The sequence below is a fragment of the Homo sapiens genome, chromosome 4, assembly GCF_000001405.40.
Source record: "Homo sapiens chromosome 4, GRCh38.p14 Primary Assembly".
Taxonomy (NCBI): domain Eukaryota; kingdom Metazoa; phylum Chordata; class Mammalia; order Primates; family Hominidae; genus Homo; species Homo sapiens.
Window position 1 is genome coordinate 5,835,418 of NC_000004.12, and position 25,129 is coordinate 5,860,546.

The window sequence follows — 25,129 nt, forward strand, 5'->3', positions numbered from 1 at the left end:
AAAGCAGAGAAGGCCCATAACTATGGGCATGGAATGTGAAAAAGTGTGCACTTTAGGGCCAACCCTTTCCTGTCTATTAGCAGCCAGCCACAAAACCGAGTGGGAGGTTTCCGACATACCAAATCAAATCCTTTCCAGCTTGATAATTAAATTGAGAACCTTAGATCTAATACTTTCCCTCGCTGAGCCCTGAAGCTTACACATTATAAGCAGTGTCAGATGGCTGGGAACACATGCATCCATGGGCAGGAGCAAAGAGACAGAGAGAGAGGAGAGGAAGAGAGAGAGAGAAAGAGAAGGAGAAGCAGCTTAGTTGAGCCTGCTCAGATCCCTCCTCCCAATCTCTCCAACTGGAGGAGAAATGGGAATGACTGAGTCAGGCTAGATATCAGATCACATCCTAGTTGGAAAATTCATAAATCATTTTTAACCAGTCTTTAAAAATGATTACAACGAAGAATCACTTATCTCAGCAGCACAAATAGGCCAGGACTTACCGACTTGTGACTTTTGGCTGTTATGGTCTTCAACTTGTCGGGGTCCCAGATGACCACGTCGGCATCCGAGCCCACGGCAATCCGCCCTTTCCTTGGGTACAGGTTAAAGATCTTGGCTGCATTGGTGCTGGTGACAGCGACAAACTGGTTCTCATCCATTTTGCCAGTAGCCTACAGGCAAGACCCACAGATGAGAAGAGCATCTCATAATGGGGCCAGGAGGAGGGGCAGCTGGGCACAAATGGAAGACTGCCAGCTGAGGCCTTGCAAGGCTTGGAATTCTCTCCTCTCCCAGCTAAAAACGTGCCATCATCAAGAACCCCAGAAGGCCCAGCCTCATCAGAGAGGACATTTAATTAACCGCACAGAGGTATGTTGACGCAAGAGCCACTATGACATCTTGTCCATGTCACCAGGCCCCAGTTTAACAGAAGATTAAAAACCTTTGGTTTCAGGTCAGTGATCAGAGTGAGACCCAGCTCTTCCTCTGCAACAGGAATTCTCTCTCTACCCACTCAACATCCCAACTCCTAACACGTGTGCACATGCACACACACAGCGTTACAGAGCCATTTCCACAGGAACTAAGACGTGGTTGAGAAACAAAACAAAACATTTTTCAATCTTAAGATGTAAAGGACAAGGGTGACATCCACAAATGCAGAGGCCTCTCCCGGACTTGAGCTACTATCTCTCAAGTTATGCGTTCCCTCCTGCGCCCTCCTAGTATATCTGCTTCCGCCTCCATGTAAGAAGGGAACTTTTAAGAACCCAGCGTGCATAATGCATCGGCTTTCACAGGGCAGGTAGAGTGTTTCTAGAATGCTCCTGAGAAGAGATCCAGCCTTACCACCGCCTTGTCCCAGACGACCGTCATCCGCTCCTCTATCCCGTTGACACCCTCGGGGATCAGGGTAAAGTTGTCCTTGCCCACCGCCTTCTGGGCAGTGCTGTAGGGACAGTGGCCGCTGCCTGTGACCTGCAAGTCCCCACTGGCAAGGACAAAACAAGGTAGAGTTCAGACCCTAGTTCATTTTGAAGGCAAATCCTGACTTCAGACAGGTACATGCAGCACAGCCAGTGAATGAATGAATAGATAAGGAAGCCAGTGGGTAAGAGAGACTCTCTAGCGTGTGCCTGCACGTGTCACAAGTCAGGGATGCCCCATTTATGTCACTGGCCTCATGCTTTGCACGTTACAAAGTGAGTAATGTGTGCTGACATTTGTCTTCTTGACATAAGGCAGTTGGCTTAAGGGCTGGCCAGAGTGTTTGTGCTGTGCTTGCAGAACAAACACTATTCATTGGTTACAGCAAAGTGGCACAAGTTCACTGGGATTTACCCTTTTGTCCCCTGGTGTTTTAAAAACAAATACTCTTTGATATATCAGGTGCCCTGAGCTGAACACCTAAGACAATAAAATGAATGGACCAGGCTGAGTGTGGTGGCTCACACCTGTAATCCCAGCACTTTGGGAGGCTGTGGATCACCTGAAGTCAGGAGATCGGGACCAGCCTGACCAACATGGCAAAACCTTGTCTCTACTAAAAAAAAAAAAAAAAAATTAGCCAGGCGTGGTGGTGGGCGCTTGTAATCCCAGCTACTCAGGAGGCTAAGGCAGGAGAATTGCTTGAACCCAGGAGGTGGAGGTTGCAGTGAACCGAGATTGCACCATTGCACTCCAGCCTGGGCGACAAGAGCAAAACGCAGTCTCAAAAAATAAAATAAAATAAAATAATAAAATAAAATAAAATAAAATAAAATAAATAAAATAAAATAAAATAAAAAATGAATGGACCATTATTAGTGGTTCTAAATGCAAGGTGAGGAAGGTGAGGCTGTCCTCCAATCCAGAGGCCCAGGAAATGTTAGCAATTGCCTAGATGCAGAGGAGTATATTTAGAAGTTTTCTTCACTCATTTATTCAACAAAATTGTGTTGCATGCTTCCTATGTGCCCGGTACAATTTAAGGAATGGGGACTGCATCTAAGATCAGAAAGAGAGAGCTTCTGCATGTGTCAGCTATACTGAGGGATGGGGGAGACTGGCAATAAGCAGAGGCGAATGGGGCACATGGGCGCTGTTAGAGTGAGTGTCAGGGATTCAACCAAAGCAGGTGGGGATGAGGCGTGCTGGGGACAGGCTGGAGATGCCATTTCCAGGAGGATAATCAGAAAATTACGTCACTGAGGAGCCTTCTAGCAAAGATCTGAAGGAAGTCACAGAGCAAACCATGTGGCGTCTAAGAAAGAGGGAACTAGCCAGGGGTTCCCATGAGTGTAAAGGCCCCGAGGCAGGGTCCTGCCTGGGGTTCAGGGTCAGCATGAAGCTGGGACTGGACCGAGGGAGCCAAGGGCAGAGGAGGCCCAGGGAGGGAGGTTGGTCAGGGCGTGTGCACCGGATTGAGTTCTGCCTTGTTGGATGTTGCAGGGACTTGGGTTTCACTGGCAGAGGACTTACTGGTTCCAAGCAGAGGGGTGCTTGATCTAATCTAGGTTCTAAATGTCTGACAGCAGACTGTGATGGGTAGGGTGGGGTGGGCCCGTGTGGAAATAGAAAGTCTTGGTCGGAAGCCAGGGATGATGGTGGCCTGAGCCAGGATGGCCACAGCAGACAGGTGAGGCGTTGTCAGACTCTAGGGCCTCTGGTCCGTGTTCCTGACATTTTCTTAGATGGGCAAGACTGTGGGACTAGCAGCTTTATGGGGGAAGATCTGCAGTTCTTTGTAAACGTGAGCTGCCCACCAGACATTGGACTGCAGATGTTGAGTAAGCCCTTGGCTACGCTAGTCAAAGGTTTCTGTATCATCAGGGGGATGGTGATTTCCACGTGGGCGCACACCACTGCCCCCTCCTCCAAGGTTCCTTCTGCCAAGAAGCCCCATCTTATCCTCCCCTATTGGGCAAACTCCTACTCATCCCCAAGCTTTAGTCTTGATGCCCCCTCCTCCAGAAAGCCTTCTGCAAGCCTCCCGGTGGGTTCTGAGCATGCGTCTCTGCTTCCAGAGCGGCCTGGACACTTAGCCTCGCTGTGTGGCCCTGCTATTGCTAAGTGCTCTTCCCTCCTGGTGGCTAACAGAAGGGAAGGGGCTGAGGTGCTGGGCTCCACAGTGTGCGTGCACCACAGCAAGTGTGCTGCAGGCAGCAGCGGCCACTTCTGGAGCACTCGGTTCCAGGTCCTTTTCCTGCACTGTCCCATAGGCAGCTCTGCCACAGGTACTGTCTGCTTCCACTTTGAGTAAAACGAGGGAGACAGAGAGATGTCACGGGTGACGTGCCAGGTCCGGGGTGACACAGCCTTGTCTCCATCCCTGATCCTGAGTGCTTCCCGATACACCATGGTGCCTGCCACAGAGCAGGTGCTTAACAGTAGGTTGGCTCAACAGGAGGTGGTCAATTGATGTGAATGGAACAGTCACTGGATGCCACAGATCTTCAGGTCCGTGAGGGCCTGTTGTAAGCCATATGAGCGCAGTCCTTGCAGAGCACGGGGCAGAGCCTCCTCTACAATCATGAGTCCAAACCAGCCTGCGGATTCCCACCATTAACTCTCTGCCTCCAAAGGCCCCAGCTGCCTCCCCCAGCCCCACGTTCTCACAGGTCTCACCAGGCCAGTAGGGAGGTCAAGTAGTCGGGCGTGGTAGGGTCCGGGCTCAGGGGAGGGGAAGTCACGAACGCCGCAGCCTTGGCCCAGTTCTTGCTCCAGTAATGGGTGCCATCGGTCCCCAGGCTGGCGGCAATGGGCTCTCCAAAAACTAGGGGCCCTTAGGAGGGGAAAACATAAGCCTGGTTAAAAGCAAATACTCTCTTGAGGCAGATGTCAAAGGCACAAAATTGGAAGACTGTGGAGGGAGAACGGGGCTGGCTGAAGGCCAGAACACTGGCCACCGTTCTTGCAGGCATCACCGCCTGCACCGCAGGGACCTTGGGTGTCCGGGCCCAGCTCCACCACATTGTCGGCGCCCCGCCACGCGCTCCATGGGGCGTACGGCAGCTGACTCACCCAGCAACCTGTGGATATGGCTGTTGCTTTTACGATTTGGACATTATTATGTCCTTTTATAGATTTGTAAGCCAAGCCATGGAGACACGATTTACTCTCTCAGTTAGGGTTCTGCCAGAAGCAGATCTTAGGAATCTAGTTCAAGAGTCTTATTTGGGAGGTGATTCCAGGAAACACTGGCTGGGGATTGAGGAAGTGACATAAGGCAGGGAAAGCAGCCAATAAAGGGAGATTTCTCATCGAGGCACAGCTGAGGGCCCTGGCACTCAGTCCTGCTCGGGAACACGCCTCAGGGTCCTCCCACCCCAGGGGAAAGGGAGTTGGATGTGTTTCTGTCAGCCCAGTGCCGGAGGGCGGCTTCCCGAGCACTAACTTCCCAGAAGTTCCTGCTTGTCTTTCAAGGAGTCGGCCTGGCGGGCTTCTTCCAGAAAAGCCTGCAGGCAGAGGCTCGGGCTCCCCAGGAAAGATCTTTGCATTAGAGACCAAGGGCAAGAGATGTGGCCCGAGACCCCCTGCTGCCCTCGCCTGAGGCCACCTGCTGCCCAGTAGGAGAGGCAGCTGCAAGCTCTGCCCGGCTCTAGGGCAGCCCATCAAGCAGCGCTTTCTGCAGCGAGGGGGGTGCCCTGTATCACAGCTGCCCAACCAGCAACCACCGGCCACATGTGGCTGTTAAGCTGGTGTGGCTGGTGCCACTGAGAAACTAACTTGTTCATTTTACTTAACATTACTTAATTTAAATTTAGATAGCCACGTGTGGTTAGTGGCTACCTTATGGCTTCCTGTAGCTCCAGAACCTGCCTGCTTACCCGCTCCCGGCTGGTACCGCTTCCAGATTTCTGTAACCTCTCTGAGCCCCGGTTTCCTTATCTTCAAAATGGAGCTAGTTTCAGGCAAGCTGTGCTGTTCTAGCCTCTACTTGTCAGCTTGCCCTTAAAAACACTAAAACAACATATTTGGGGTCCACAGCTGCTCTGTCCAATAAGGCAGTCCTGAGCCGCATGTGGCCACCAATAACCTGAGGCTGTGGTTAGTCTGAACTGAGTTGTGTACATGTAAGATACTGAATTTTGAAGAGAGTACAGAAAACATCATGCAAAATATTAATGATTTTTACATTGATGACATGCTGAATTAATATGTGGATCCATTAGATTAAACATAATATATTATTAAAATTCTCTTTAAATGGAGCTGAGCTTATCGAGGTGAATATCCTAAGGTCATTGGGACCAAAGAATTCCAGCCACCATCCTTGTGTCAGGAGCATCCCCGCTCCACCCCTCCCTCCTCCGGCTGCCTGTCTGAGTTCGGGAGGGAGTGAACTTGAACCTGCAGGACACCCCCTTCCAGGCCCCAGCTGCCCCCAGAAGGCCCAGGGCCGGCTGCATACCTTTCTTCCTGGCCAGAGCGATGATGTCGGCTGCACTCTTGCTCATGACCTTGGTGATGTACACAGGGCAGTTGATCCGGCCCGCAATGGTGATGGCCCGGAACACCGCCTCGGCCTCCAGCTGAACACGGCACACACAGTGTCACAGGAGGGAAGGCTGGTGTAACAGCTACCACCCATCTCCATTTTCCTTAATTGAATGTGATCAGAAGGGAAATCTGCTCCATTGAATGAGAAGGACATACTGAGTCCAACAGCGCTTGACAGTGCCCCCTGCTCTCCGGGGTGGAGCATTGGTCTCACGCTGGGATACGGCAGCAACATCCAAGCGCTATACAAGTTTATAGCACTGCCTCCCAGTTCTGTCCTGACCTCACCATGGGCCAGGAACATACAGCTCGTGGCCATCCCTGGGCTGTGGAGCTCATGAAGAGCACTGGGTGGGATCTCAAGCCCCTCAGGACACGGAACCTGTCCACTCATGTGGACTCATGTCTGTGTCCCCTGTGTCCAGCAGACACCAGGCCCAGGGCATGGGCCCAGAAGACTCGGTAATGACCTGATGAGGACATCAGAAAATGTCCTCAACTTGGCCAGGCACGGTGGCTCACACCTGTAATCCCAGCACTTTGGGAGGCCAAGACGGATGGATCACTTGAGGTCGGAAGTTTCAGACCAGACTGGCCACCATGGTGAAACCCAGTCTCTATTCACGAGGTCAGGAGATCGAGACCATCCTGGCTAACACGGTGAAACCCTGTCTCTACTGAAAATACAAAAAATTAGCCAGTGTGGTGGCAGGTGCCTGTAGTCCCAGCTACTTGGGAGGCTGAGGCAGGAGAATGGTGTGAACCCGGGAGGCAGAGCTTGCAGTGAGCCAAGATGGCGCCACTTCACTCCAGCCTGGGCGACAGAGCGAGACTCTGTCTCAAAAACAAACAAAACAAACAAACAAAAAACACAAATTAGCCAGGCGTGGTGGCACAGGCCTGTGCCTAGTGCTCCTAGCTACTTGGGAGGCTGAGGCAGGAGAGTCACTTGAACCCAGGAAGCGGAGGCTGCAGTGAACCGAGATCATACCACTGCACTGTAGCCTGGGCAACAGAGAGAGACTCCATCTCAAAAAAAAAAAAAAAAAAAGAAAAGAAAGAAAGAAAGTAAAAAGAAGGTGTCCTCAACTCAAAGGATGGCTGCCAGGGTGCCCACTCTATTCCATGCCCGATCAGCTTGCCTTCCTCCTTCCACACTCCCTGCAGGTGCATGCACATGCACCCACACTCACACACTCTCTCACACACACACACACACACTCACTCACACACACACACACGCACTGTCTCTCTCACACACACACACTAACATACACACACTCACACACACACATACACACACAGCCAGTCCAGGGGAAGTCATCCTTTTTCAAGGCTTGGGAACAGGGCAGGCAGTGGGAGTTGTCTCCTGGGTGCTGGGCTTGGGCATGCGGCTCCACTTTCCTATTATCCACTATGCCATGTCCTCCATGAGAATCCGTATCCACTTGGGACACTGAAGCACCCACGGGGCCTTGGAGTGAAGTTCCAGGACCCTGGGAGAGGCAGCACCTCTTCCTGTCTTCTCCAGCCAGCAGTCCCCAGGGTTCCCGGGGAAAACAAGATGGTTTGGGATGGTCTGGGAGAGGACACGGGAAGAGGCCGGGTCCTGGCTGGGCTACTCCAGCTGGAACAGCATCAAGGTGAGTGCTCAGTGGTGAGTGTCAGAGTCATGCCCAAGTTGAGGAGTCCTTACCTCTTCAGGTCTGCTCAGGGCATGGCCCTCGGGACCCGTGATGCCCATCTCCAGGATCCGCTTTTGTTCCTACAAGACAAGAACAAGTGAGTTAACGATTAGAGGGTGTCAGAGCTGGGAGAAGTGACTCCTCCAACCCCCTGGTTAGACAGAGGGGGCAGCTGGGTCCCAAAGAGGCGAGTGGCTTGCACTAGGTTAACAGTGTGCGGGGTGGGGGCAGTGAACTGTGTCCCCTCCACTACACACCCATCCACCTTCCCCTTTGTAGCCCTGCATGGCTCCATCTGCACCTGCTTTATATTGAATCTCCCGGGATCAATGAGAGGAAGCAGGGTTATAAGACACGAGCTTCCAAGGCCACCCACCACTCTCTGAATCTCGGAGTCTCCCTGCAGGCCTCTCCTCTGGGAAGAAACGTGGTGTTTGGGTACAACATGGATATCTTCAACTAGGAATCCTACTCTAGTCTTTGATGTTGAAATCAAAGATCCCGAAACTGGGAGTCCAGATCCAGAACAGCCGTCTCTGTGACTTTGGGCAGGTTGGTCAAGCTCTCTTGACCTCAGTCTCCTCTTCTGTACACTGGGGATAACGGTGCTTGTACTGCAGAGTTACTACGCTGATCAGATGAGCGAGCATACGAAACATGCTCAGCACAAAACCTGGAGCTGAGCGAGCACACGCTCATTAATTGGCAGCCGGCTCTCATACCTACTTCAGCTGCCTCTTCCTGGCATCTGTCTTTATGGCGGGAAACCACTACCTGAAACTTATCATATAACCTTGAAATGGTTCCCTGGGCTGATGGCCTAGATTCAAATCCATCTGGTCCAAAGTTTCTTTGTCCCAGGAACACTTTAATTTCTAAAATAAAAAATAAAAAAAAAATTTGACATTGCCCAGATGCCAGCTGTACTGCTGCTAATTTTAACTTCCTCAGTGTCTGTGTCATTGTTCTTAGACATCACCCCGTCATGAACCCTGGGCCTCATCACCCATGAAAAGAAATCACAATCTCAACTGCGCGTCTATGGTTATTAAGCTCGAGGTTATTACAAGAATATAAATGGGAAACCATTTCAAAGTCTAACAGCTGGGTAGATTGAAGTAAACAATGGAATAATTTCAGCTACCGAAGACACTGTTTACAAAGCATTTTTAGAAAATGTTTACAAAAAGATTTTAGAATACCGAGAAATCCCTCTGTGAAATTGTTTACATGTCAGTTACTATTCTGGAAGGAAAGAGGAAGTAAGGAGGGGGAGGGCAGGGGAGGGAAGGGGAATGGAGGGAAGGGGAGGAAGGGAAGAAAGCCAGGAGGGAGGGAGAAGAGGCGAGGAAGGGAGGATGAAAGATGACATGATGAAGAAAAACAAAGACGAGAGTAGGATTTCTAGTCTAAAATAATGGACTACACACATGCATTTGTTTCACTGCCTTCCAAAACACACAGAAGTCACAAGAGAAAGAGACACACAGGAACCAAGAAACTACAGAGAAGACCAGAGGAACAAAATGTTGAAAGCTGGAAAGCAGATGTCCAAAAGGTGATGGATGTGCTGGAGCTGGAACAGCTAAATCTCTGCTGGCAGTGAGGAGAGCAAAGCCCCTTATGTGCCACTCAGGAGCTGGGGGCTGCAGGCTGGACCTCTCTCACACTGGTGCAGGGGTGCGTGCACGCTGGGAAACTGTGTAGCAGTAACCACTAACGCTGAATCTACACACACCCTAGGACCCAGCCATTCCTCTCTTAGGTATATACCAGCTAAAGATGTGAACCTATGGTTAATAAAAGGCTGAACAAGAGTGGAGCAAGAACAAGCACAGAAGCCTCACGCATCACGGTTCCAAATGTGAAACTATCCAAATATCCAACAACTGGAGAATACATTGTGCAGATTCGTGCGGTGGAATTCTACACACCGATGAAATAGAAAAAGCTAGTGCTATGCCTGGCCAAAGATGGATCTCACACGCCTCGGATTGAGCAAATGGAGCCGGACATAAGACAGTGTGTGCTGTATGCTTCCATTTTTAGAAAGTTTAAAATCAGCTAAGATTTGTGTGGCAGCAACTTCTAAGATGACTCCCAGTGATCCCGCCTCCTGCTTTTCAAGGCCCTGCAGGGTCCCCTCCCCTGGAGTGTGGGCTGGACCCAGCACCTTGCTTCTGATGAGCAGAACAAGACAAAAGGGTTGGGCTGTCACTCCCGAGGTCAGGTTACAGAGACTCTGGCTTCCGACCTGCTCACCTACTGCTTTTTGGTTAATCTGCTCTGAAGGAAGCCGCCTCGCTGGGGCTGCCCATGTGCAAGGAACCGAGGGAGGCCTCTGGCCAGCAGCCAGCAAAGAACAGACCATCACATTAGCCTGACAGCTAGCAAGGAGCTATATCCAGAAATACACCACCTACGAGAGGCTGGATGCAAATCCTGCACCAGTTGAGCCTTGAGATGCTCACCGCCCCCAACCTGCCACTCACTATGGCCTGTGAGACCCTCAGCCAGAAATAGCTGAGCTGCACCTGGAGTCCAGACCCACAGGACCATGAGATAATTTGCTTTAAGACGCTATGTTCTGAAGTAATTTGTTATGCAATCATGGATGACTAGTACAGGTTTTGTTACCAGAAGTAGGGTGTTACCATAAAAGATATCTAAATGTGTGGAAGAGGATCTGGAACCAGGCAGCAAATGAATTCCCAAACAGCAATTTAAATAGCCTTGAATGGACTCTTAGAAGAAATAGGGCCTCTGAGGACATTGAGTCCTCACAGGAGGCAAGAAGCAGCCATAAACAGTCTTGCGAAGAAACCAAGGATGTGAGTCTACAGCCCCTTGTTAAGAACTCAGAAAGATGAGGGGTGGTGCCTCCCAGTATTATCAGCCACAAGAAAGAGATCCTTTAAATAGGGACCTTTTAGGCTGGGCATGGTGGCTCACACCTGTAATCCCAGCACTGTGGGAGGCCGAGGCGGGCAGATCACTTGAGGTCGGGAGTTCAAGACCAGCCTGGCCAACATGGTAAAAACCCATCACTACTAAAAATACAAAAATTAGCTAGGCGTGGTGGCGCATGCCTATAGTCCCAGCTACTCAGGAGGCTGAGGCACAAGAATCACTTGAACCCAGGAGACGGGGGCTGCAATGAGCCAAGATTGCACCACTGTACTCCAGTGTGGATGACAGAATGAGATTAAGTCTCAAAAAAATTTAAAAAAAATTTTTTTGAAGAGACATTTCAAAGAGATGAAGGCTGTGCCTGTGGACCATCTCAGTCAAACTACAGGGCCTCTGGGAAGCTTGCAGTTGTGTCTCTCAGCTCTCTCATCAGGGTAGCGGAGGGATTATCTGGAAGAAGTGGGTGCCTTTTGTCTTATGGTGTGAACCCCAGCGAGATTCACAGGAGGTCCACAGATTTTTAGGAGAGTTGCCTTAGCAAAATACTGGAAGCTGAGACTGAACACAGGCATGTGATGTGAAAAGAAGCAGTTGGATCCCCAAAATTCTTTTTTTTTTTAAGACGGGGTCTCACTGTCACCCAGGCTGGAGTGTAGTGGCGTGATCTCATCTCACTGCAACCTCCACCTCCCACATTCAAGCAATTCTCCTGCCTCAACCTCCCAAGTAGCTAGGATTACAGGCACCCGCCACCATGCCCGGCTAATTTTTTTTTTTTTTTTTTTTTTTTTTTTTTTTTTTTTAGTAGAGGCAGTGTTTCGCCATGTTGGCCAGGCTGGTCTCAAACTTCTGACCTCAGGTGATCTGCCCGCCTTGGCCTCCCAAATTGCTGGGATTACAGGCATGAGCCACCGTGCCTGGCTGATCCCTGAAATTCTACTGAGCAAGAAGCAGGCTGAGAAAACCACTCAGCTGCAGACATGTACTACCTTTCACGAAAAAGGATGGATGACTCAGAGGATGGAAGCAGGAGCTCAGAAGGTAGAGCCAAGAGCTATGGAGACTTATTCTCAGGCTTTGAAACCCAGTCAAGGAACTGCCAACATTTCCCAGCCAGATTTCAGAACCGCCATGAACCAATAACTCCTTGGTGCCTTCTATTTTTCCCTTTTTGAATAGGAATGTCAGGTCCACCACTGCATGTTGTATATCAGGAGGGTCAGGGAGATATCTTCCTTCTTTAGCTTCATAGACCTACAGATTATGGGAAATACAGCCAAGGAGCCTCATCCACACCTGGACCTGGTTTGGATGATGAGATTCCAGACTGTGAACTAATGCTGTTATGAGATTTTGGAGAACCATGGGAAGGGGTGATTGTAATTTGCATGGGAGAGGAACATCAATCATGGGGGCCAGAAGACAGATTGGGAGGAAGTCTCAGATGTGGCCCTAATAATTCTCACTTCCTGACATTCCTGCCCTTGTATAATCCCTTCTTTTTGAGTGTGGGCTGGATGCAGTGACCTGTTAGCAATGAACAGAATACTCTTGCATGATGGAACTAAGGCACTGTTGGTTTTTTACATTGAATTTGAAAGAATTTCAATTGTGCAGGAAAACTACAAGGACTCAGATAAGAAGAAGTGAAGTCAATGAACCTTAATGGTGAAGCTTTAGATCTCCAGCACTGAACCATCATGTTGCTCTTCCACTGCGCTCTGGAACTAGAGGGAACTGGTTAACATCCTAACTCTACTGCCCCATGAGCAACAGTGAGCAACTTATTCATATCTGAGCTTCAGTTTCCCTATCTATAAAATGGGAATAATTATATCTACCTCACGGAGTAGTTGTGAGTATCAATATGTGAAGTCCTTTGCATCATGTCTGGCATTAACTACCTTTACTGGCTGCATCCAAACCTTCCCCTATAAGCCTGGCTTGATTTACAACATTATAACCAATCCATGCCTCTGCACCAGAGACCCAGGAGCCTGCCTGACTTCTTTCTCTTCTTCCTCCACCCAATCCGTCCATGGGTCCTGTAGATTGTGTTTCCCTCCTGTCATGCTCACCTCTTCCATCTCCTATCTCCTCTCTTCATTTCTTATGAGACTTGCTGAAATAGAACCTAGCTAGTCACCCTGACTTCATTTTTTTTTTTTTTTGAGACAGAGTCTCACTCTGTTGCCCAGGCTGGAGTGCAGTGGCGTGATCTCAGCTCACTGCAAGCTCCACCTTCCAGGTTCAAGCAATTCTCTGCCTCAGCCTCACACCTGATAATGGCTGTATTCTCACCTGTAATACCTGTATTCCCACCTGTAATAGCTGGGATTACAGGTGTGCTCCACCACACCCAGCTAATTTTTGTATTTTTTAGTAGAGATGGGGTTTTGCCATGTTGGCCAGGCTGGTCTCACACTCTTGGCCTCAAGTGATCAGCCCACCTCGGCCTCTCAAAGTGCTGGTATTACAGGCGTGAGCCACAACTCCCAGCTTTCATTCTTTTCCCAACAAATTCTCCACTCCACAGCTAGAATTATCAAAATATGTTCATGTCTCATTTTATCCAAAACTTTTGCATGGCTGCAGTCCATTATGTGTCAGATTCTGAACCTCACATACACGATGTCTTACTCTGTTTTCTGATGCTATTACAGAATACCATAGACTTGGTAATTTTACAGAAAATAAGTGTATTTCCCATGGTTCTGGAGGCTGGGAAATCTAATAACAAGGTGCCAGCATCTGGTGAGGGCCTTCTTGCTGCATCATAGCATGGCGGTGGGCATCACATGAGACAGCAGGTGCATGCCAGCTCAGGCCTCTCTTCTTCTCCTTATAAAGCCACTAATCCCGTCATAAGGCCCCCACCCTGATGATCTCATCTAATCCAAATTACCTCCCTAAGGCCTCACCTCCAAATACCATCAACATACTAGCTTGTGCATTAAGTTTTCAACATATGAACTTTTGAAGGACACATTCAAGCCATGGCACATAATATCATTTGATCCACACAATAACACTGCCAGGTGGTTGTTTCTGGAAGAAAAATAAGAGTGTTCATGGGAAAAAGTTCCTTGCCCAAGGTCACATGGCTAGGAGATGGAGGAGACTGGCATGGAACACCTCCTCCAAGCCTGGGCTTTTCCATGATGCCCACTCCCAATTCCTGAAGACAATGAGGAACACCAGCTTCCATGTGCATTGCCACTGGTATGACCTAGGTTTGCAAAGCATTTTCATTCATATCTGATGTGTCTGATATGACACCCAGTTCCTGGCTTGACCTTTCATTGTACAGCCTCCTCACTAACCAATGCTCTTTTATCAAACCTTTTGCAACAAGGAGAATCAGACTGAGGTAGAAGGAGTGGAAATTCTTGCCACTCACCTGAGCTATCAAATCTCCATTTTCTGCATGGACCAAGATCACAGCTCCCAGGCCCTTAAGGAAGGTAAAGGCTTCATAGAGCTATGGAGAGATAAACAGGGGTTGGTGTGAGATTTAAAAAAAAAAAAAAATCACAGCGTGTGCATTCATGAAGACCGTTCCGATCACACCCATTCGGTCATTCACCTGCCAGCCTCTGCAAACACATTCATGTGGATGGAATACGCTGCTACACAAGTCAGACTTGGAAGGATCATTCCTTGACCCTGACATCTTGCAGACCCAAAAGCAGGAAGCTGAGGATGGGGCACAACTGGTCCAAGTCACCCCAGGGCATGAAGACAGACTCAATCTCAGTGCCTATCTATGCCTTTTGCTGTCTTTTTGGGTTGGCTTTTTTGAAACACCTGTAGGTGTTAATGGCAGCAACTGGTCCTGAGAAGTCACTGTTAGTTTTACAGAAATTATCTAACTAAATCTGCTAAGCCTGTACCATAGCCACCTACATGCCACAGAATATGTGTGCATCCTTACAAAAATATGAACCCATGCCATTTTATGGACAATGGTGGGGTGGGGGAAACCAGCTCTCTAATAACTCCAATACTCAGAAAATATATAGCATGCCAACCATCCTCTCAATTAGACAAAACAGGCCCTCCCCACTGCCCAGTGTTCTCTTCCTACCTGAGGAGAATCTGCATTTGGGCATTGCCCCTGGTAAGGGCCAAAGCCACGAAGCTCCCTCTCCAGGGACACTTGAACCTCAACTTTGTTCTCCATGCATGCAAGACAACATCCCCTCGGATGTCTGCTTTCCGACAGACATCCCTATTTCAGCAAATAGGGAAGGCATGTGGAGGCATGAAGCACTTTTGAGAACCTGCACGCAGAGGCTGCTCGATTCCATCCATGCCCATGGCTCCAGTAGTTAGAATGAAACAGGTGAAAATCACAATTATGCCAGCACATCACATGCTATGTTTTCTATGTAACTGAACCAATTTTCAGCTCTTTGAGTGTCTTTTGTTGACTGTATCAAAGGCCTCCAGGACATCTTGGGATAAGTTATTTTCTGTAACCCCAAGTGTTTATCTGAAAGGAAGGACATAAAGTGCTTCTCCCGTTGCCCATCTATCTTCATGGTAATAACCAATTACCCTGCTAACTGATGCCTGTATGGCACCATTCTCTGCTAGGCACCATCCTAGCACTTTACTCTTCTTATGAAATCATTCAACTGCCTCTATAAGGTAGGGCTATCATGAGCCTAAAGCACAGAGAAGTTGGGAAAGCTGCCCCTGGCTGCAGAGCAAGCACCTGGCTTGGCTGTAGCCTCCATGATTTTCTCCACCACACTAACAAGCAGAGCAAGGGAAACTGACAATGAAACAAAACTAGGAGACCCAGTAGTATAAGAAGGCCAGGTGTCCTGTAAGTCGTAACCACTCCTCCTGAAGAACAACTTGCGGCTCCATATCCCTTGACTTGGTGCATGTACATAATAATTGTTTGCTGTTGGCAGGGCCAGAAATGTTCCATCTTACAAATGTGAGGAGATGACTTGCCCAGCATGTTGCAGTTGCTGTGAGGGAAGGCCAGGCAGTCTCTCTTCCTGTGTCAGAGCTCATAAATGGTCCCCATCCTTGCCTGAATACCAGGATCAAACGCAGAGCTTTCGGGAAGTACAGGCTCCTGAGTCCAACACCCAACATCTGGAACATGCACTAAGAATCTGTATTTCAAGTGAGCTCTCCAGATGATGCTGAGGATAAGCCAGATTTGGGAGCCACCAAACCAGGGAACCCCTTCTGCATGCCACTCACACAGTCAGAAAAGAACAGAAGCCCAGCTGGGGCAATGACTGACACCGTATCACACAGCCATTCCATGCCAGAACCAGGACTCGAATCCCACGGCTTCTCACAATCTCCCTTGCCCTGTGCTGCCTGGACTGGCAAAGCTGGCCCAGTCCTGCCCAGACAAGAGAGGAGAGAGTGAGTGTGAGGGACCTACCTGGCTGTCGGACATTTGGTAGACATCCTTATAGGCCATGTAGACTTGGAAGGAATTGACGCCTGTTTCAAGATAGAAAGGATAGAAAAATATGTTTAAGAAAAAACAGAAGCATGTCTTTCCAATAAATCAATGACCACAGAGCAGAGTGGTAGTCGCCAGGAGAGATGAGTGCCATTGGGATCCCCAGTGGGGCACCTATCCAGCCTGAGGATGTGGGCGAAGGTCAAAGGAAGCTTCCAGGGAAGGTCACACCTAAGCAGAATCTGAAGGTGATGGAGGAGAAAGGGAGGAGAAGGAGGAGGAAGGGGAGGAGAAGGAGAAAGAGGAGGAGGAGGAAGAGGAGAAGGAGGAGGATGAAGAGGAGGAGAAAGAGGACAAGGAGGAAGAGGAAGAGGAGGAAAAAGAAGAGGAGGAGAAAGAAGGAGAAGGGGAGGAGGAGGAGGAAGAGGAGCAGGAGGAGGAAGAGGAAGAGGAAGAGGAGGAGGAAGAAAAAGGAGAAAGAGAAGGAGAAGAGGAAGAGGAGGAAGAGGAGGAGAAAGGGAGAAGAAGGAGGAAGAGGAAGAGGAGGAGGAAGAGGAAGAGGAGGAGAAAGAGGACGAGGAGGAGGAGGAAAACTCCCCAGGCTGAGAGGGAGGGGTGTGGTAAGGATAAGGAAGGGTGTGATGAGCATCTGCAATACGGAAGATGAAAAGACATTAGTCATGCAGCTTCTAGAAAGTGTCCTAAAGCATGTGCTTTTTTATCCCATTTCTTTAAAGAATTGTGTTTGCAATTCCCATAAAGACATCAACAGTGACAGCTGCTCCGTCAGGGAGAGCTGAGTTCAGGCCTCAGTTGCTGTGTGGCACTTGAGACGTTACTGCACCTCTCTGGGTTTCACTTTCCCCATTTCTGCAAAGAGGACATTACACCAAACGTGTTGGTTTCCCATCCTGGAAATGCCCTGCACTGGACTGCACAGTACACTCATGACAAATAGCAAGATTTCTGGGCAAGCCCTTCTGACTTAGAGAAGGACGCACTAAAATGCTTCAGGACCAAGGAAACCAGGCGTGTTCCTCCTCCCTTTCTTCCCTCCCTCCCTGCTTCTCTCCTCTTTTCCTTTCCTAACTTATTTATTCATGTTACAAACACTTACTGAGAGCCTGCTGTATGCTGGGCATGTGCTAAGCACTTGAGATACAGAAGTTACTAAAGGCATCTTTCATGAAATCAATCAGCTGGTCCACTGATATTGGATGCAACTCTCTGTGCAGGTCCCAGCCATGCAACTGTGAGTAAGACGACAAGTCCCTGCCCGTAGGGGGCTCGCCATCTGGGCTGGGGTGTGGGAGTATCAGCAAGTCAATGGGCAAAGACAACTTAGTCTGATGATCCCTATGTGGGGGATGCATGGGGGGGTTGCATCTGTCAGGGGGCTTCAGGGAAGGCTTCCCAGGGGAGTACAGCTCAGCACGAACAGGAGAATCGCTAGGAAAAGGCAGGGAGACTGTTCCTGAAGGGGCCAGTACTCACTCACACAGCCCCAAGAGCCAGAGGCAGCCTCGAGCAGATGGGAAACGGAGGTGCAGGGGGCTGGGGCTCTGGGCCCCAGGAACTGGAACAAGCCAGTCTGGAGGAGCAGGCGCATCCTGATGAGCCAGGCAGACAGCTTGCAATTTATTCTGGGGATAATGTGGAATTGCTGAGAGCATTTAAGCTGATTAGAAAATAAAAACACAGGTGGGAGCAGTGGCTCACGCCTGTAATCCCAGCAATTTGGGAGGCCAAGGCAGGTGGATCACCTGAGGTCAAGAGTTCAGGACCAGCCTGGCCAATATGGTGATACCCCGTCTCTACTAAAAATACAAAAATTAGCCGGGTGTGGTGGCAGGTGCCTGTAATCCAAGCTACTTGGGAGGCTGAGGGGGAAGAATCACTTTAACCTGGGAGGCAGTGAGCTGAGATCTCGCCATTGCACTCCAGCCTGGGTGACAGAGTAAGACTCCATCAGAAGGAAAGAAAGAAAGAGCTGCATCTAAGAGATAGCAAGTGTTGATGAGGATGTGGAGAAAAGGCAATTCCTGAGCACCGTTTGTGGGAATGTAAATTAGCACAGCCACCTCTATGGGGAACAGTACGGAGGCTCCTCACAAAACTAAGAACTGAATTACCATATGCTTCAGCAGTCCCACTACCGGCTGAAAATCCAAAGGAATTGAAATCAGAATACCCAGGGGATATCCCCACTCCCGTGTTCATTGAGGCATTGTTTATAACAGCCAAGATTAGGAAGCAACCTGTGTCCATCAATGAATGAATGGATTTTATAAATGTGGTAAACATACACAATGGATGCCTTAGTAAAGAAGGACATCGTGTCATTTGCAGCAACAAAGTTGAAGCTGTGGAACCCTATGTTAAGGGAAATAAGTCAGGCACAGAAAGGCAAACACTGCAGCATCTCACTTATATGTGGAATCTAAAAAGTTGATTTCATAGAAGCATACAAAGTTGAAAGGTTGCTGCCAGGACCTGAGCACCATCGCCATTCGCCTGCTGGTGACCCAGCCCAGATGCGCACAGCACAGGGCTCCCTGGATGCCTGCAGGCAGCACAGACCCACTAGGCCTCACGGAGCCCAGTGTCTTTCCCTACAAACTCCACTGCCACTCCAGAGACCCTCCCATCTCAGTGAGGGGCGTCCTAAACGACCATTTGCTTAAGGCGGCAACCTGGGGAAAATTGCTCAGAACTTAACATTAGGTAAGGAAAGTAAGATACAAGACTGTCAATTTCCTTGGATTATGACTCTGTTATGTAGTTGCAGTGAATCACGCAGCAACTGCAATACAAGGATAATGCCTTTTTCTTTTAAAAGATAGGGTCTCACTCTATGAGCCAGGCTGGAGTGCAGTGCTCACTCCAGCCTCAACCTCCCAAACTCAAGCAATGCTCCTGCTCAGCCTCCCAAGTAGCTGGGAGGCGTACACCACCACTCCTGGCTATGTTTTTTTTTTTTTTTTTTTTTTTTTAATAGAGTCGTGGTCTCACTATGTTGCCCAGGCTGGTCTCAAACTCCAGGCCTCAAGCAATCCTCCCTCCTCAGCCTCCCGAAGTGCTAGGATTACAGGCATGAGCCACCATGGCCAATAATGCCTTCTTGATAGAAAGAGCTTAAACAGACATATGAAAATGCAAATTGAAGAGTGGGCAAATAATACAATCAGCTATTCACATAAGGAAAAATGTATGCAAAATGTTGAATGTAATCAGTAAAGAACTGCCATGAAAACCACAATGGTGGTGTCTTTCACCCATCGAATCGGCAAGGATTTCATAGAAGCAATAATGCCCAATGGTGCAAAGGTGCAGGGACTAGAGATTCTGGCATAGGATTTGCAGGGGTACAAGGGGATGCATCTTTCAGGAAACCAATTTGGCAATAAGTGTCATAATCTTGAAAAATGTTAAAACCTCTGACCTTCTAATTCCACTTCTGGAAATCTAAAGAAAAATTAGAAATGCAAACAAATGTTTATATACAAAGATGTTCACCGTAACAGGATTTATAATAAAACGAATAGAAAGCATAAATGCCCAATAAAAAGAAAATAGCTAAGCAAATTAACCATTATATTATACATTACAAGCCATTAAAAAGTTATTGATGAAAAGTAATTTGACTCATAAAATGTTAAGTGAAAAAAGAAGGGTTCCACATAACAGCTATTGCACAACCACATAGGGGAAAAATCATCCAAATACACAGGGAATGGAAAGCAATAATCCTGCACATTTAGAGTAAATTGTGATTGGGGGTAGAACCAGAGGAAAACAATTTTTTTCCTTCCATTTTCTGACTTTCTTTAAATATTGGGGATGATACTGTTATTACGAGAAAACATAGCACAGCTATTTTAAAAATTGGAAACACACCCTCGCTCTCCTTGAAGCACCACCATTTGAGGCTGCCTCCTCAGAGGGCTCCCCGACTGCCCCTTTCTGGACAGATCGCTCATGCCCTGTCTCTTTCCATTCTGCTGTTCTTTGCTTCCTTTGTGTCTTCTGATCAGTTCCCCCCAGTTCGATGTAACACACACCATAAAGGTCTACACTGTGCTGGTGTGAACCCAAACAGAGGGGAGCCAAGGTGGGAAGCAGGGACATATAGACGTGGTCCCCTCCCTCACAGAGCTCAGGGTTTGGCAGAAGAGCCAGACAGACAAACCATGTCCCATAATCCAGGAACAATGGAAAAAGTGCCCCAAAGGAGGCCTAAGTAACCGGCATTGGCTATTCAAGGAATGAAGCAATGGGAGAAGGTAATGGTTGAGTTGGGTCTTGAAGGTGAGTAGCACTGGGCAGGCAGAGGAGAAAGGGCATTCATTCCTGGCAGGGGATCCACATGAGCAAGGGCCTCACAGCATAGCCAGTTTCAGGGATGGCAGCCAGGCTAGTGATCCGGGTGATGGAAAAGAAAAGTGAAGTTAGATCAGCAAGGGCCTGGGCACAGCAGGCTGCAGAGACTGGATCTGCTTCTGAGAACAAGGACACCCCCAGAGGTTTTCAAGGAGAAAAGGATGGACTCTGTAAAGGGACTGGCCTGTTTCCTCACTGTCACGTGGCAGAGTGCAGCTCATAATCAGGCTCAGAACAGATGCAGACAGGGGGATTTTTCACTCCACATAATCTTTGGATCTACCAAAGAACAAGGGATTCCCCAAAACCCCGTTCCGAGGCTTTAACTGACCTTTGTCCTGCACCAGCACCTCCAGCTCCTCCCGAACGCCATCGTACCAGCTTGTGATGTCCACGTGGAGGGAGTAATCACAGCAGGATTTGGTGTCAGCTGCTTCGTGCCACTTCTCGAAAGAGGTCAGTAGGCTGGACCCAGGTTCAGGAACAACATGGTCAACTGGGACAGAGAAATATGCATCATGATGCTTCAGACTCAAGTGTTCCAATGGTAGCCACATCATTACCACTACCACCATCATCACCATCATTACCATCACCACCATCATCATCATCACCATAATTATCACACCATCACCATTATCACTATGACAGCCACCATCATTATCACCACCACAATCATCACCATCATTATCAACCCATCACCATGACCATCATTACCATCACCATCATCATCATCATTACCATTATCACCACTACCACCACCATCATCACCATCATTATCACCCCATCACCATCATCACCATGACCGCCACTATCATCATCATCATTATCAACCCATCACCATGACCATCATTACCATCACCATCATCATCATCATTACCATTATCACCACTACCACCACCGTCATCACTATCATTATCGCTCATCACTATCATCACCTCCACCACCATCACTATCATCATCATTACCATCAGCACCATCATCACCACCACCACCATCCACTATCATTACCACCATCCACTATTATCACCACTATCATTGTCACCCCACCATCATCACCATCACCACCACCACCACCATCATCATCATTACTAACATTATCACCACCACCACCACCATCACCACCATCATCACCATCACCACCACCATCCACTATCATCACCACCATCCACTGTTATCACCACCATCCACTATCATCACCACCATCTGCTATCATCACCACCATCCACTATTATCACCACTATCATTATCACCCCACCATCACCACCACCACCATTATCACTAACATCACCACCACCACCACAATCATCACCATCACCACCACCACCATCCACTATCATCACTACCATCCACTATCATCACCACTATCATTGTCACTCCACCACCATCATCACCACCCCATCACCAGCACCACCATCATCACCATCACCATCATCATCATCACTATCATTATCACCCCATCATCATCATCACCATCTTCATCACCACCATCCTATCACCATCATCATCATCCCTATTATCACCCCATCGCCATCACCACCATTATCATCACCATCATCACCATCCTTTTCATAATCACTCCCACCATCATCATTGTCATACTGCCATCACTCACTATCATTAACCATAACCATTAGCAATGACATCATCACCATCATCTTCAGTCTTCATTACCACCATCATCACCACCATTGTCATCATCATCACCATCATCATAACTATTTATGGAATGCTTACTATTTGTCAGATAATGCCACAAAAGCTTGACATAAGTTCGTTCATTCAATCCTCACAACTGTCCTGTAAAGTGAAAATTAATATACCCATTTTGCAGATGAAAAACTTGAGGCTCAAAGAGGGTAAAGCAATTGTCCAAGAGCGTACAACTAGTAAGCAGAAGAAGGAAGGTTATCCAAGACCTGTCAGACAGTCTGAACTCTTACCCACTGCTCCAAGCTACCTCCTTTGGCACAGAATGCCAAGATGAAAAGGGCCTCCGAGACCCAACAAGTTCACTTCATCATCCTTTTTTCAAATAAAATCTTAAATGTAAAGTAGATGAGAAAGGGGAGCCTGCAGTCAGTCTTTTAAACCTCCCTTGAGGCTTACTGCCCTGTTTCTTTGCACCCCCACCCTTCACAGGCAGATGTCAAAAAGAGAAGTCTCACCTCTCCTCCTCCCACTCACACCTCCATCCACTTAAAGCATCAGGCTTTGCTAATATGACCCTCACATCTCTAGGTCTAATGGGGAGCATGCAGTCCTCAGTCTCTTGGCCTCTCAGGGCACAGAGAGTCCCTCCCTCCTTCCTTAAACTCGCTTCTCTCCAGCTTCCATGGCAACGCCACCTTCTGGCTTTTTCGTTCCTTTGTCCTACTTCTTTGGCTGCCGCTTCTCAATCATCCTGAGGACTCCATCCCCTACTGTTCACTATGCTTACTAATTGGATCCCTTTTCTTTGTGCCAGCTCATTGAAACACACCACTTGCTCTGAGCTACAGAACTCTGAACCCGGTTGTGTTCTTGGCTTCTCCACCGAGATGACTCAAAAGCTCCCCCAAATGAGAATGTCCAAAACCTCATGCAATACTCTCCCCACCCCGACCCCAGCTGTGGTGGACATCACCAACCAACGGTTCCACAGCCAGAGGCCCAGGTCACCCGTGGCACTTCCTTTCCCTCACATGCCCCCGTGTGTGACCCAGCACCGAAGGCTGTTGACTGGCCTCCTCCATATCCCTGGAGCTGTCCAATTCTGCCCACTCCATGGCCACGCCACCCTCATCTCTCAGCTGAATTACGCAATCGCCTCCCAACTGGTCCAGACACATCCCATCCAGGCCACTCTATTACCGGTCTCTCCAAAACACAGAACAGTTCACATCTCTCCCTGCTTAAAATACCTCAACATTGCCCATCACCCATATGAGAAAGAGCCACAGCCTCATCAGGCCATCGAGGCCCAGGGTTGTCCTCTCCTTCCAGCCTTGCCTCACAGGATGTCATCCCTCAATCTCGACACCCCTGCACCGTGGGCCTCCCTGCAGTCTCTGGAATGGGAGGTGTGTTCTCACCTCAGGGCCTTTGCACATGCTATTCCCTCCTCCTGGGGCTCTGCTTTTCTCTGCCCTCTTCTCCCGGTTAATTCCAACTCATCCTTCAGATCCCTGTACGAATGTCACTTCTTCAGAGAACACTTCCCTGAGACCCTGCCCCTCAGTTCAAAGCACTGTGTACCCTTCTTTTGTAGCAGGAGTCACAGTTTCTAGTCATACATGTGGACGATTAGTGACTCCCCAAGAGATGGCAGTCCCCTTGACAACGAGCATCATTCCTGCTTTTGTTCACCTGGTACAGTGCCTGGTGCGGACAACTCTTACTTAACATCTGTTGAATGAAGATGGGGAAGGGCGGGGACCCTTTCAGAGCCCTGGACTGTTGTCCTCGTGTGCTTTCATAGGCTCTTGTTCCATGAAACACACTTTGGAAACTGCCCTTCACAGGTGAGGAGGATAAGGCTTACAGGGCAGGGCTCCCCAGGGTCTCACAGCTGGTAATGGAGAAAAGCAGGGGACATCCCAGGAACCCTGGCTCCTCATCCAGTACTCCTTCCCCTGCCCTGTGCAGTCCTCCTGAACCCAGAACTTCCATGCCCATCTCTCAGAACTCTCATGTCCCATGCACTACATGAAGGAATCTCATGTACGTCTCCAAACCACCCTAGGCACTTCCCACCATAAGGCCCACATTATAGATGAGGAAGCTGAGGCTCAGAGAGGCTGAGTGCTGGCCACAGTCATGCAGTTGCCTGCTGAGTGCCAGTGCTCAGGTTCAAACCCTGGCCACTGGGATCCAAGTCCAAGTCTAGATCCTCCCATTTCCCATCCAGCAGATCCACGGGCTGCCCTTTGGAAGAGGGATCAGGACAGTGCTTGCCTCAAAAGTCGAGCCCCACCCTCCTGGCTCAGGGACTTGGCAAACTCTGCCCATGGCGGTGGGCTTCAGCCCACAGACCACACTTCCAAAGGGACTCCTTTGTGAAGGAGCGGGAGAGATGGGCAGGGTTGGGGCCAGCTTACAGACAGGCCTCCTGAAACCGAAGAGCCTAACAGTTGAAAGAACATTTACAATAAACTGTGGCCTATTTAATTAAAATTGCTTATTAAAATGAATCCAAGCAAAAGCGGCTCTTCAAAATCAACACAAGAAACAGCCATCGGGCTGCACAGGGCAATGGAGGAGGAGTCCAGTTTCCCAGACCGAGCACTGCTGGGGAGTGGTCTCACTGCCCGCAGTGTTTCCTTCCCTCCCCAACCTCACCAGGGCTCTCTGTGGCACAGTGTGCTCCTGTCAACTTTGGGCTCGGCCACATGACTGACCTTGGCCAATGGAATGTGGGTGGAAGTTGCAGCATGGAAGTGAGGAGATGAGGCAGTGAGAAGAAAGGCAAGTTTCGGCCAGAACCCCCTGCATTCTGCCATCCACCAGGAGAACAGAGTGGCTGGGGAGTCACTGGGTCCAGAATGGGAGACCCATGGTGCCTGAATCCAACCCAAAGCTAAGCACAGCCACTCCAGCCCCACTCCCACTCCTGCACACCCTCAAATGAGAAAAACAAGTGTTGCTTAAGATTTGGGGGCTGTTTGTTACGCGGTGTTATCACAGTATTACTGCAGCAATACTAATACAACCACTTCCCAGCTGTGTCTCCTTGGGCAAGTTGCTTCACCTCTCT

At 49.0% G+C, this 25,129-nt stretch overlaps 1 protein-coding gene across 6 annotated transcripts in view; it reads right to left on the minus strand.

The window, feature by feature from the left end:
* The window catches only part of CRMP1 (collapsin response mediator protein 1), a 72,323-nt gene that overhangs the window by 14,654 nt on the left and 32,540 nt on the right, over positions 1–25,129 (minus strand). For all 6 annotated transcript variants that reach the window (NM_001014809.3, NM_001288661.2, XM_047449629.1 and 3 more), the window contains 8 exons: positions 20,726–20,890; positions 15,991–16,052; positions 13,975–14,055; positions 7,676–7,744; positions 5,891–6,011; positions 4,105–4,261; positions 1,348–1,489; positions 498–668 (listed from right to left, as the gene is read on the minus strand). In NM_001014809.3, coding sequence (NP_001014809.1) covers positions 498–668; positions 1,348–1,489; positions 4,105–4,261; positions 5,891–6,011; positions 7,676–7,744; positions 13,975–14,055; positions 15,991–16,052; positions 20,726–20,890 — 968 coding nt within the window. The remainder of the gene's footprint in view (positions 1–497; positions 669–1,347; positions 1,490–4,104; positions 4,262–5,890; positions 6,012–7,675; positions 7,745–13,974; positions 14,056–15,990; positions 16,053–20,725; positions 20,891–25,129) is intronic.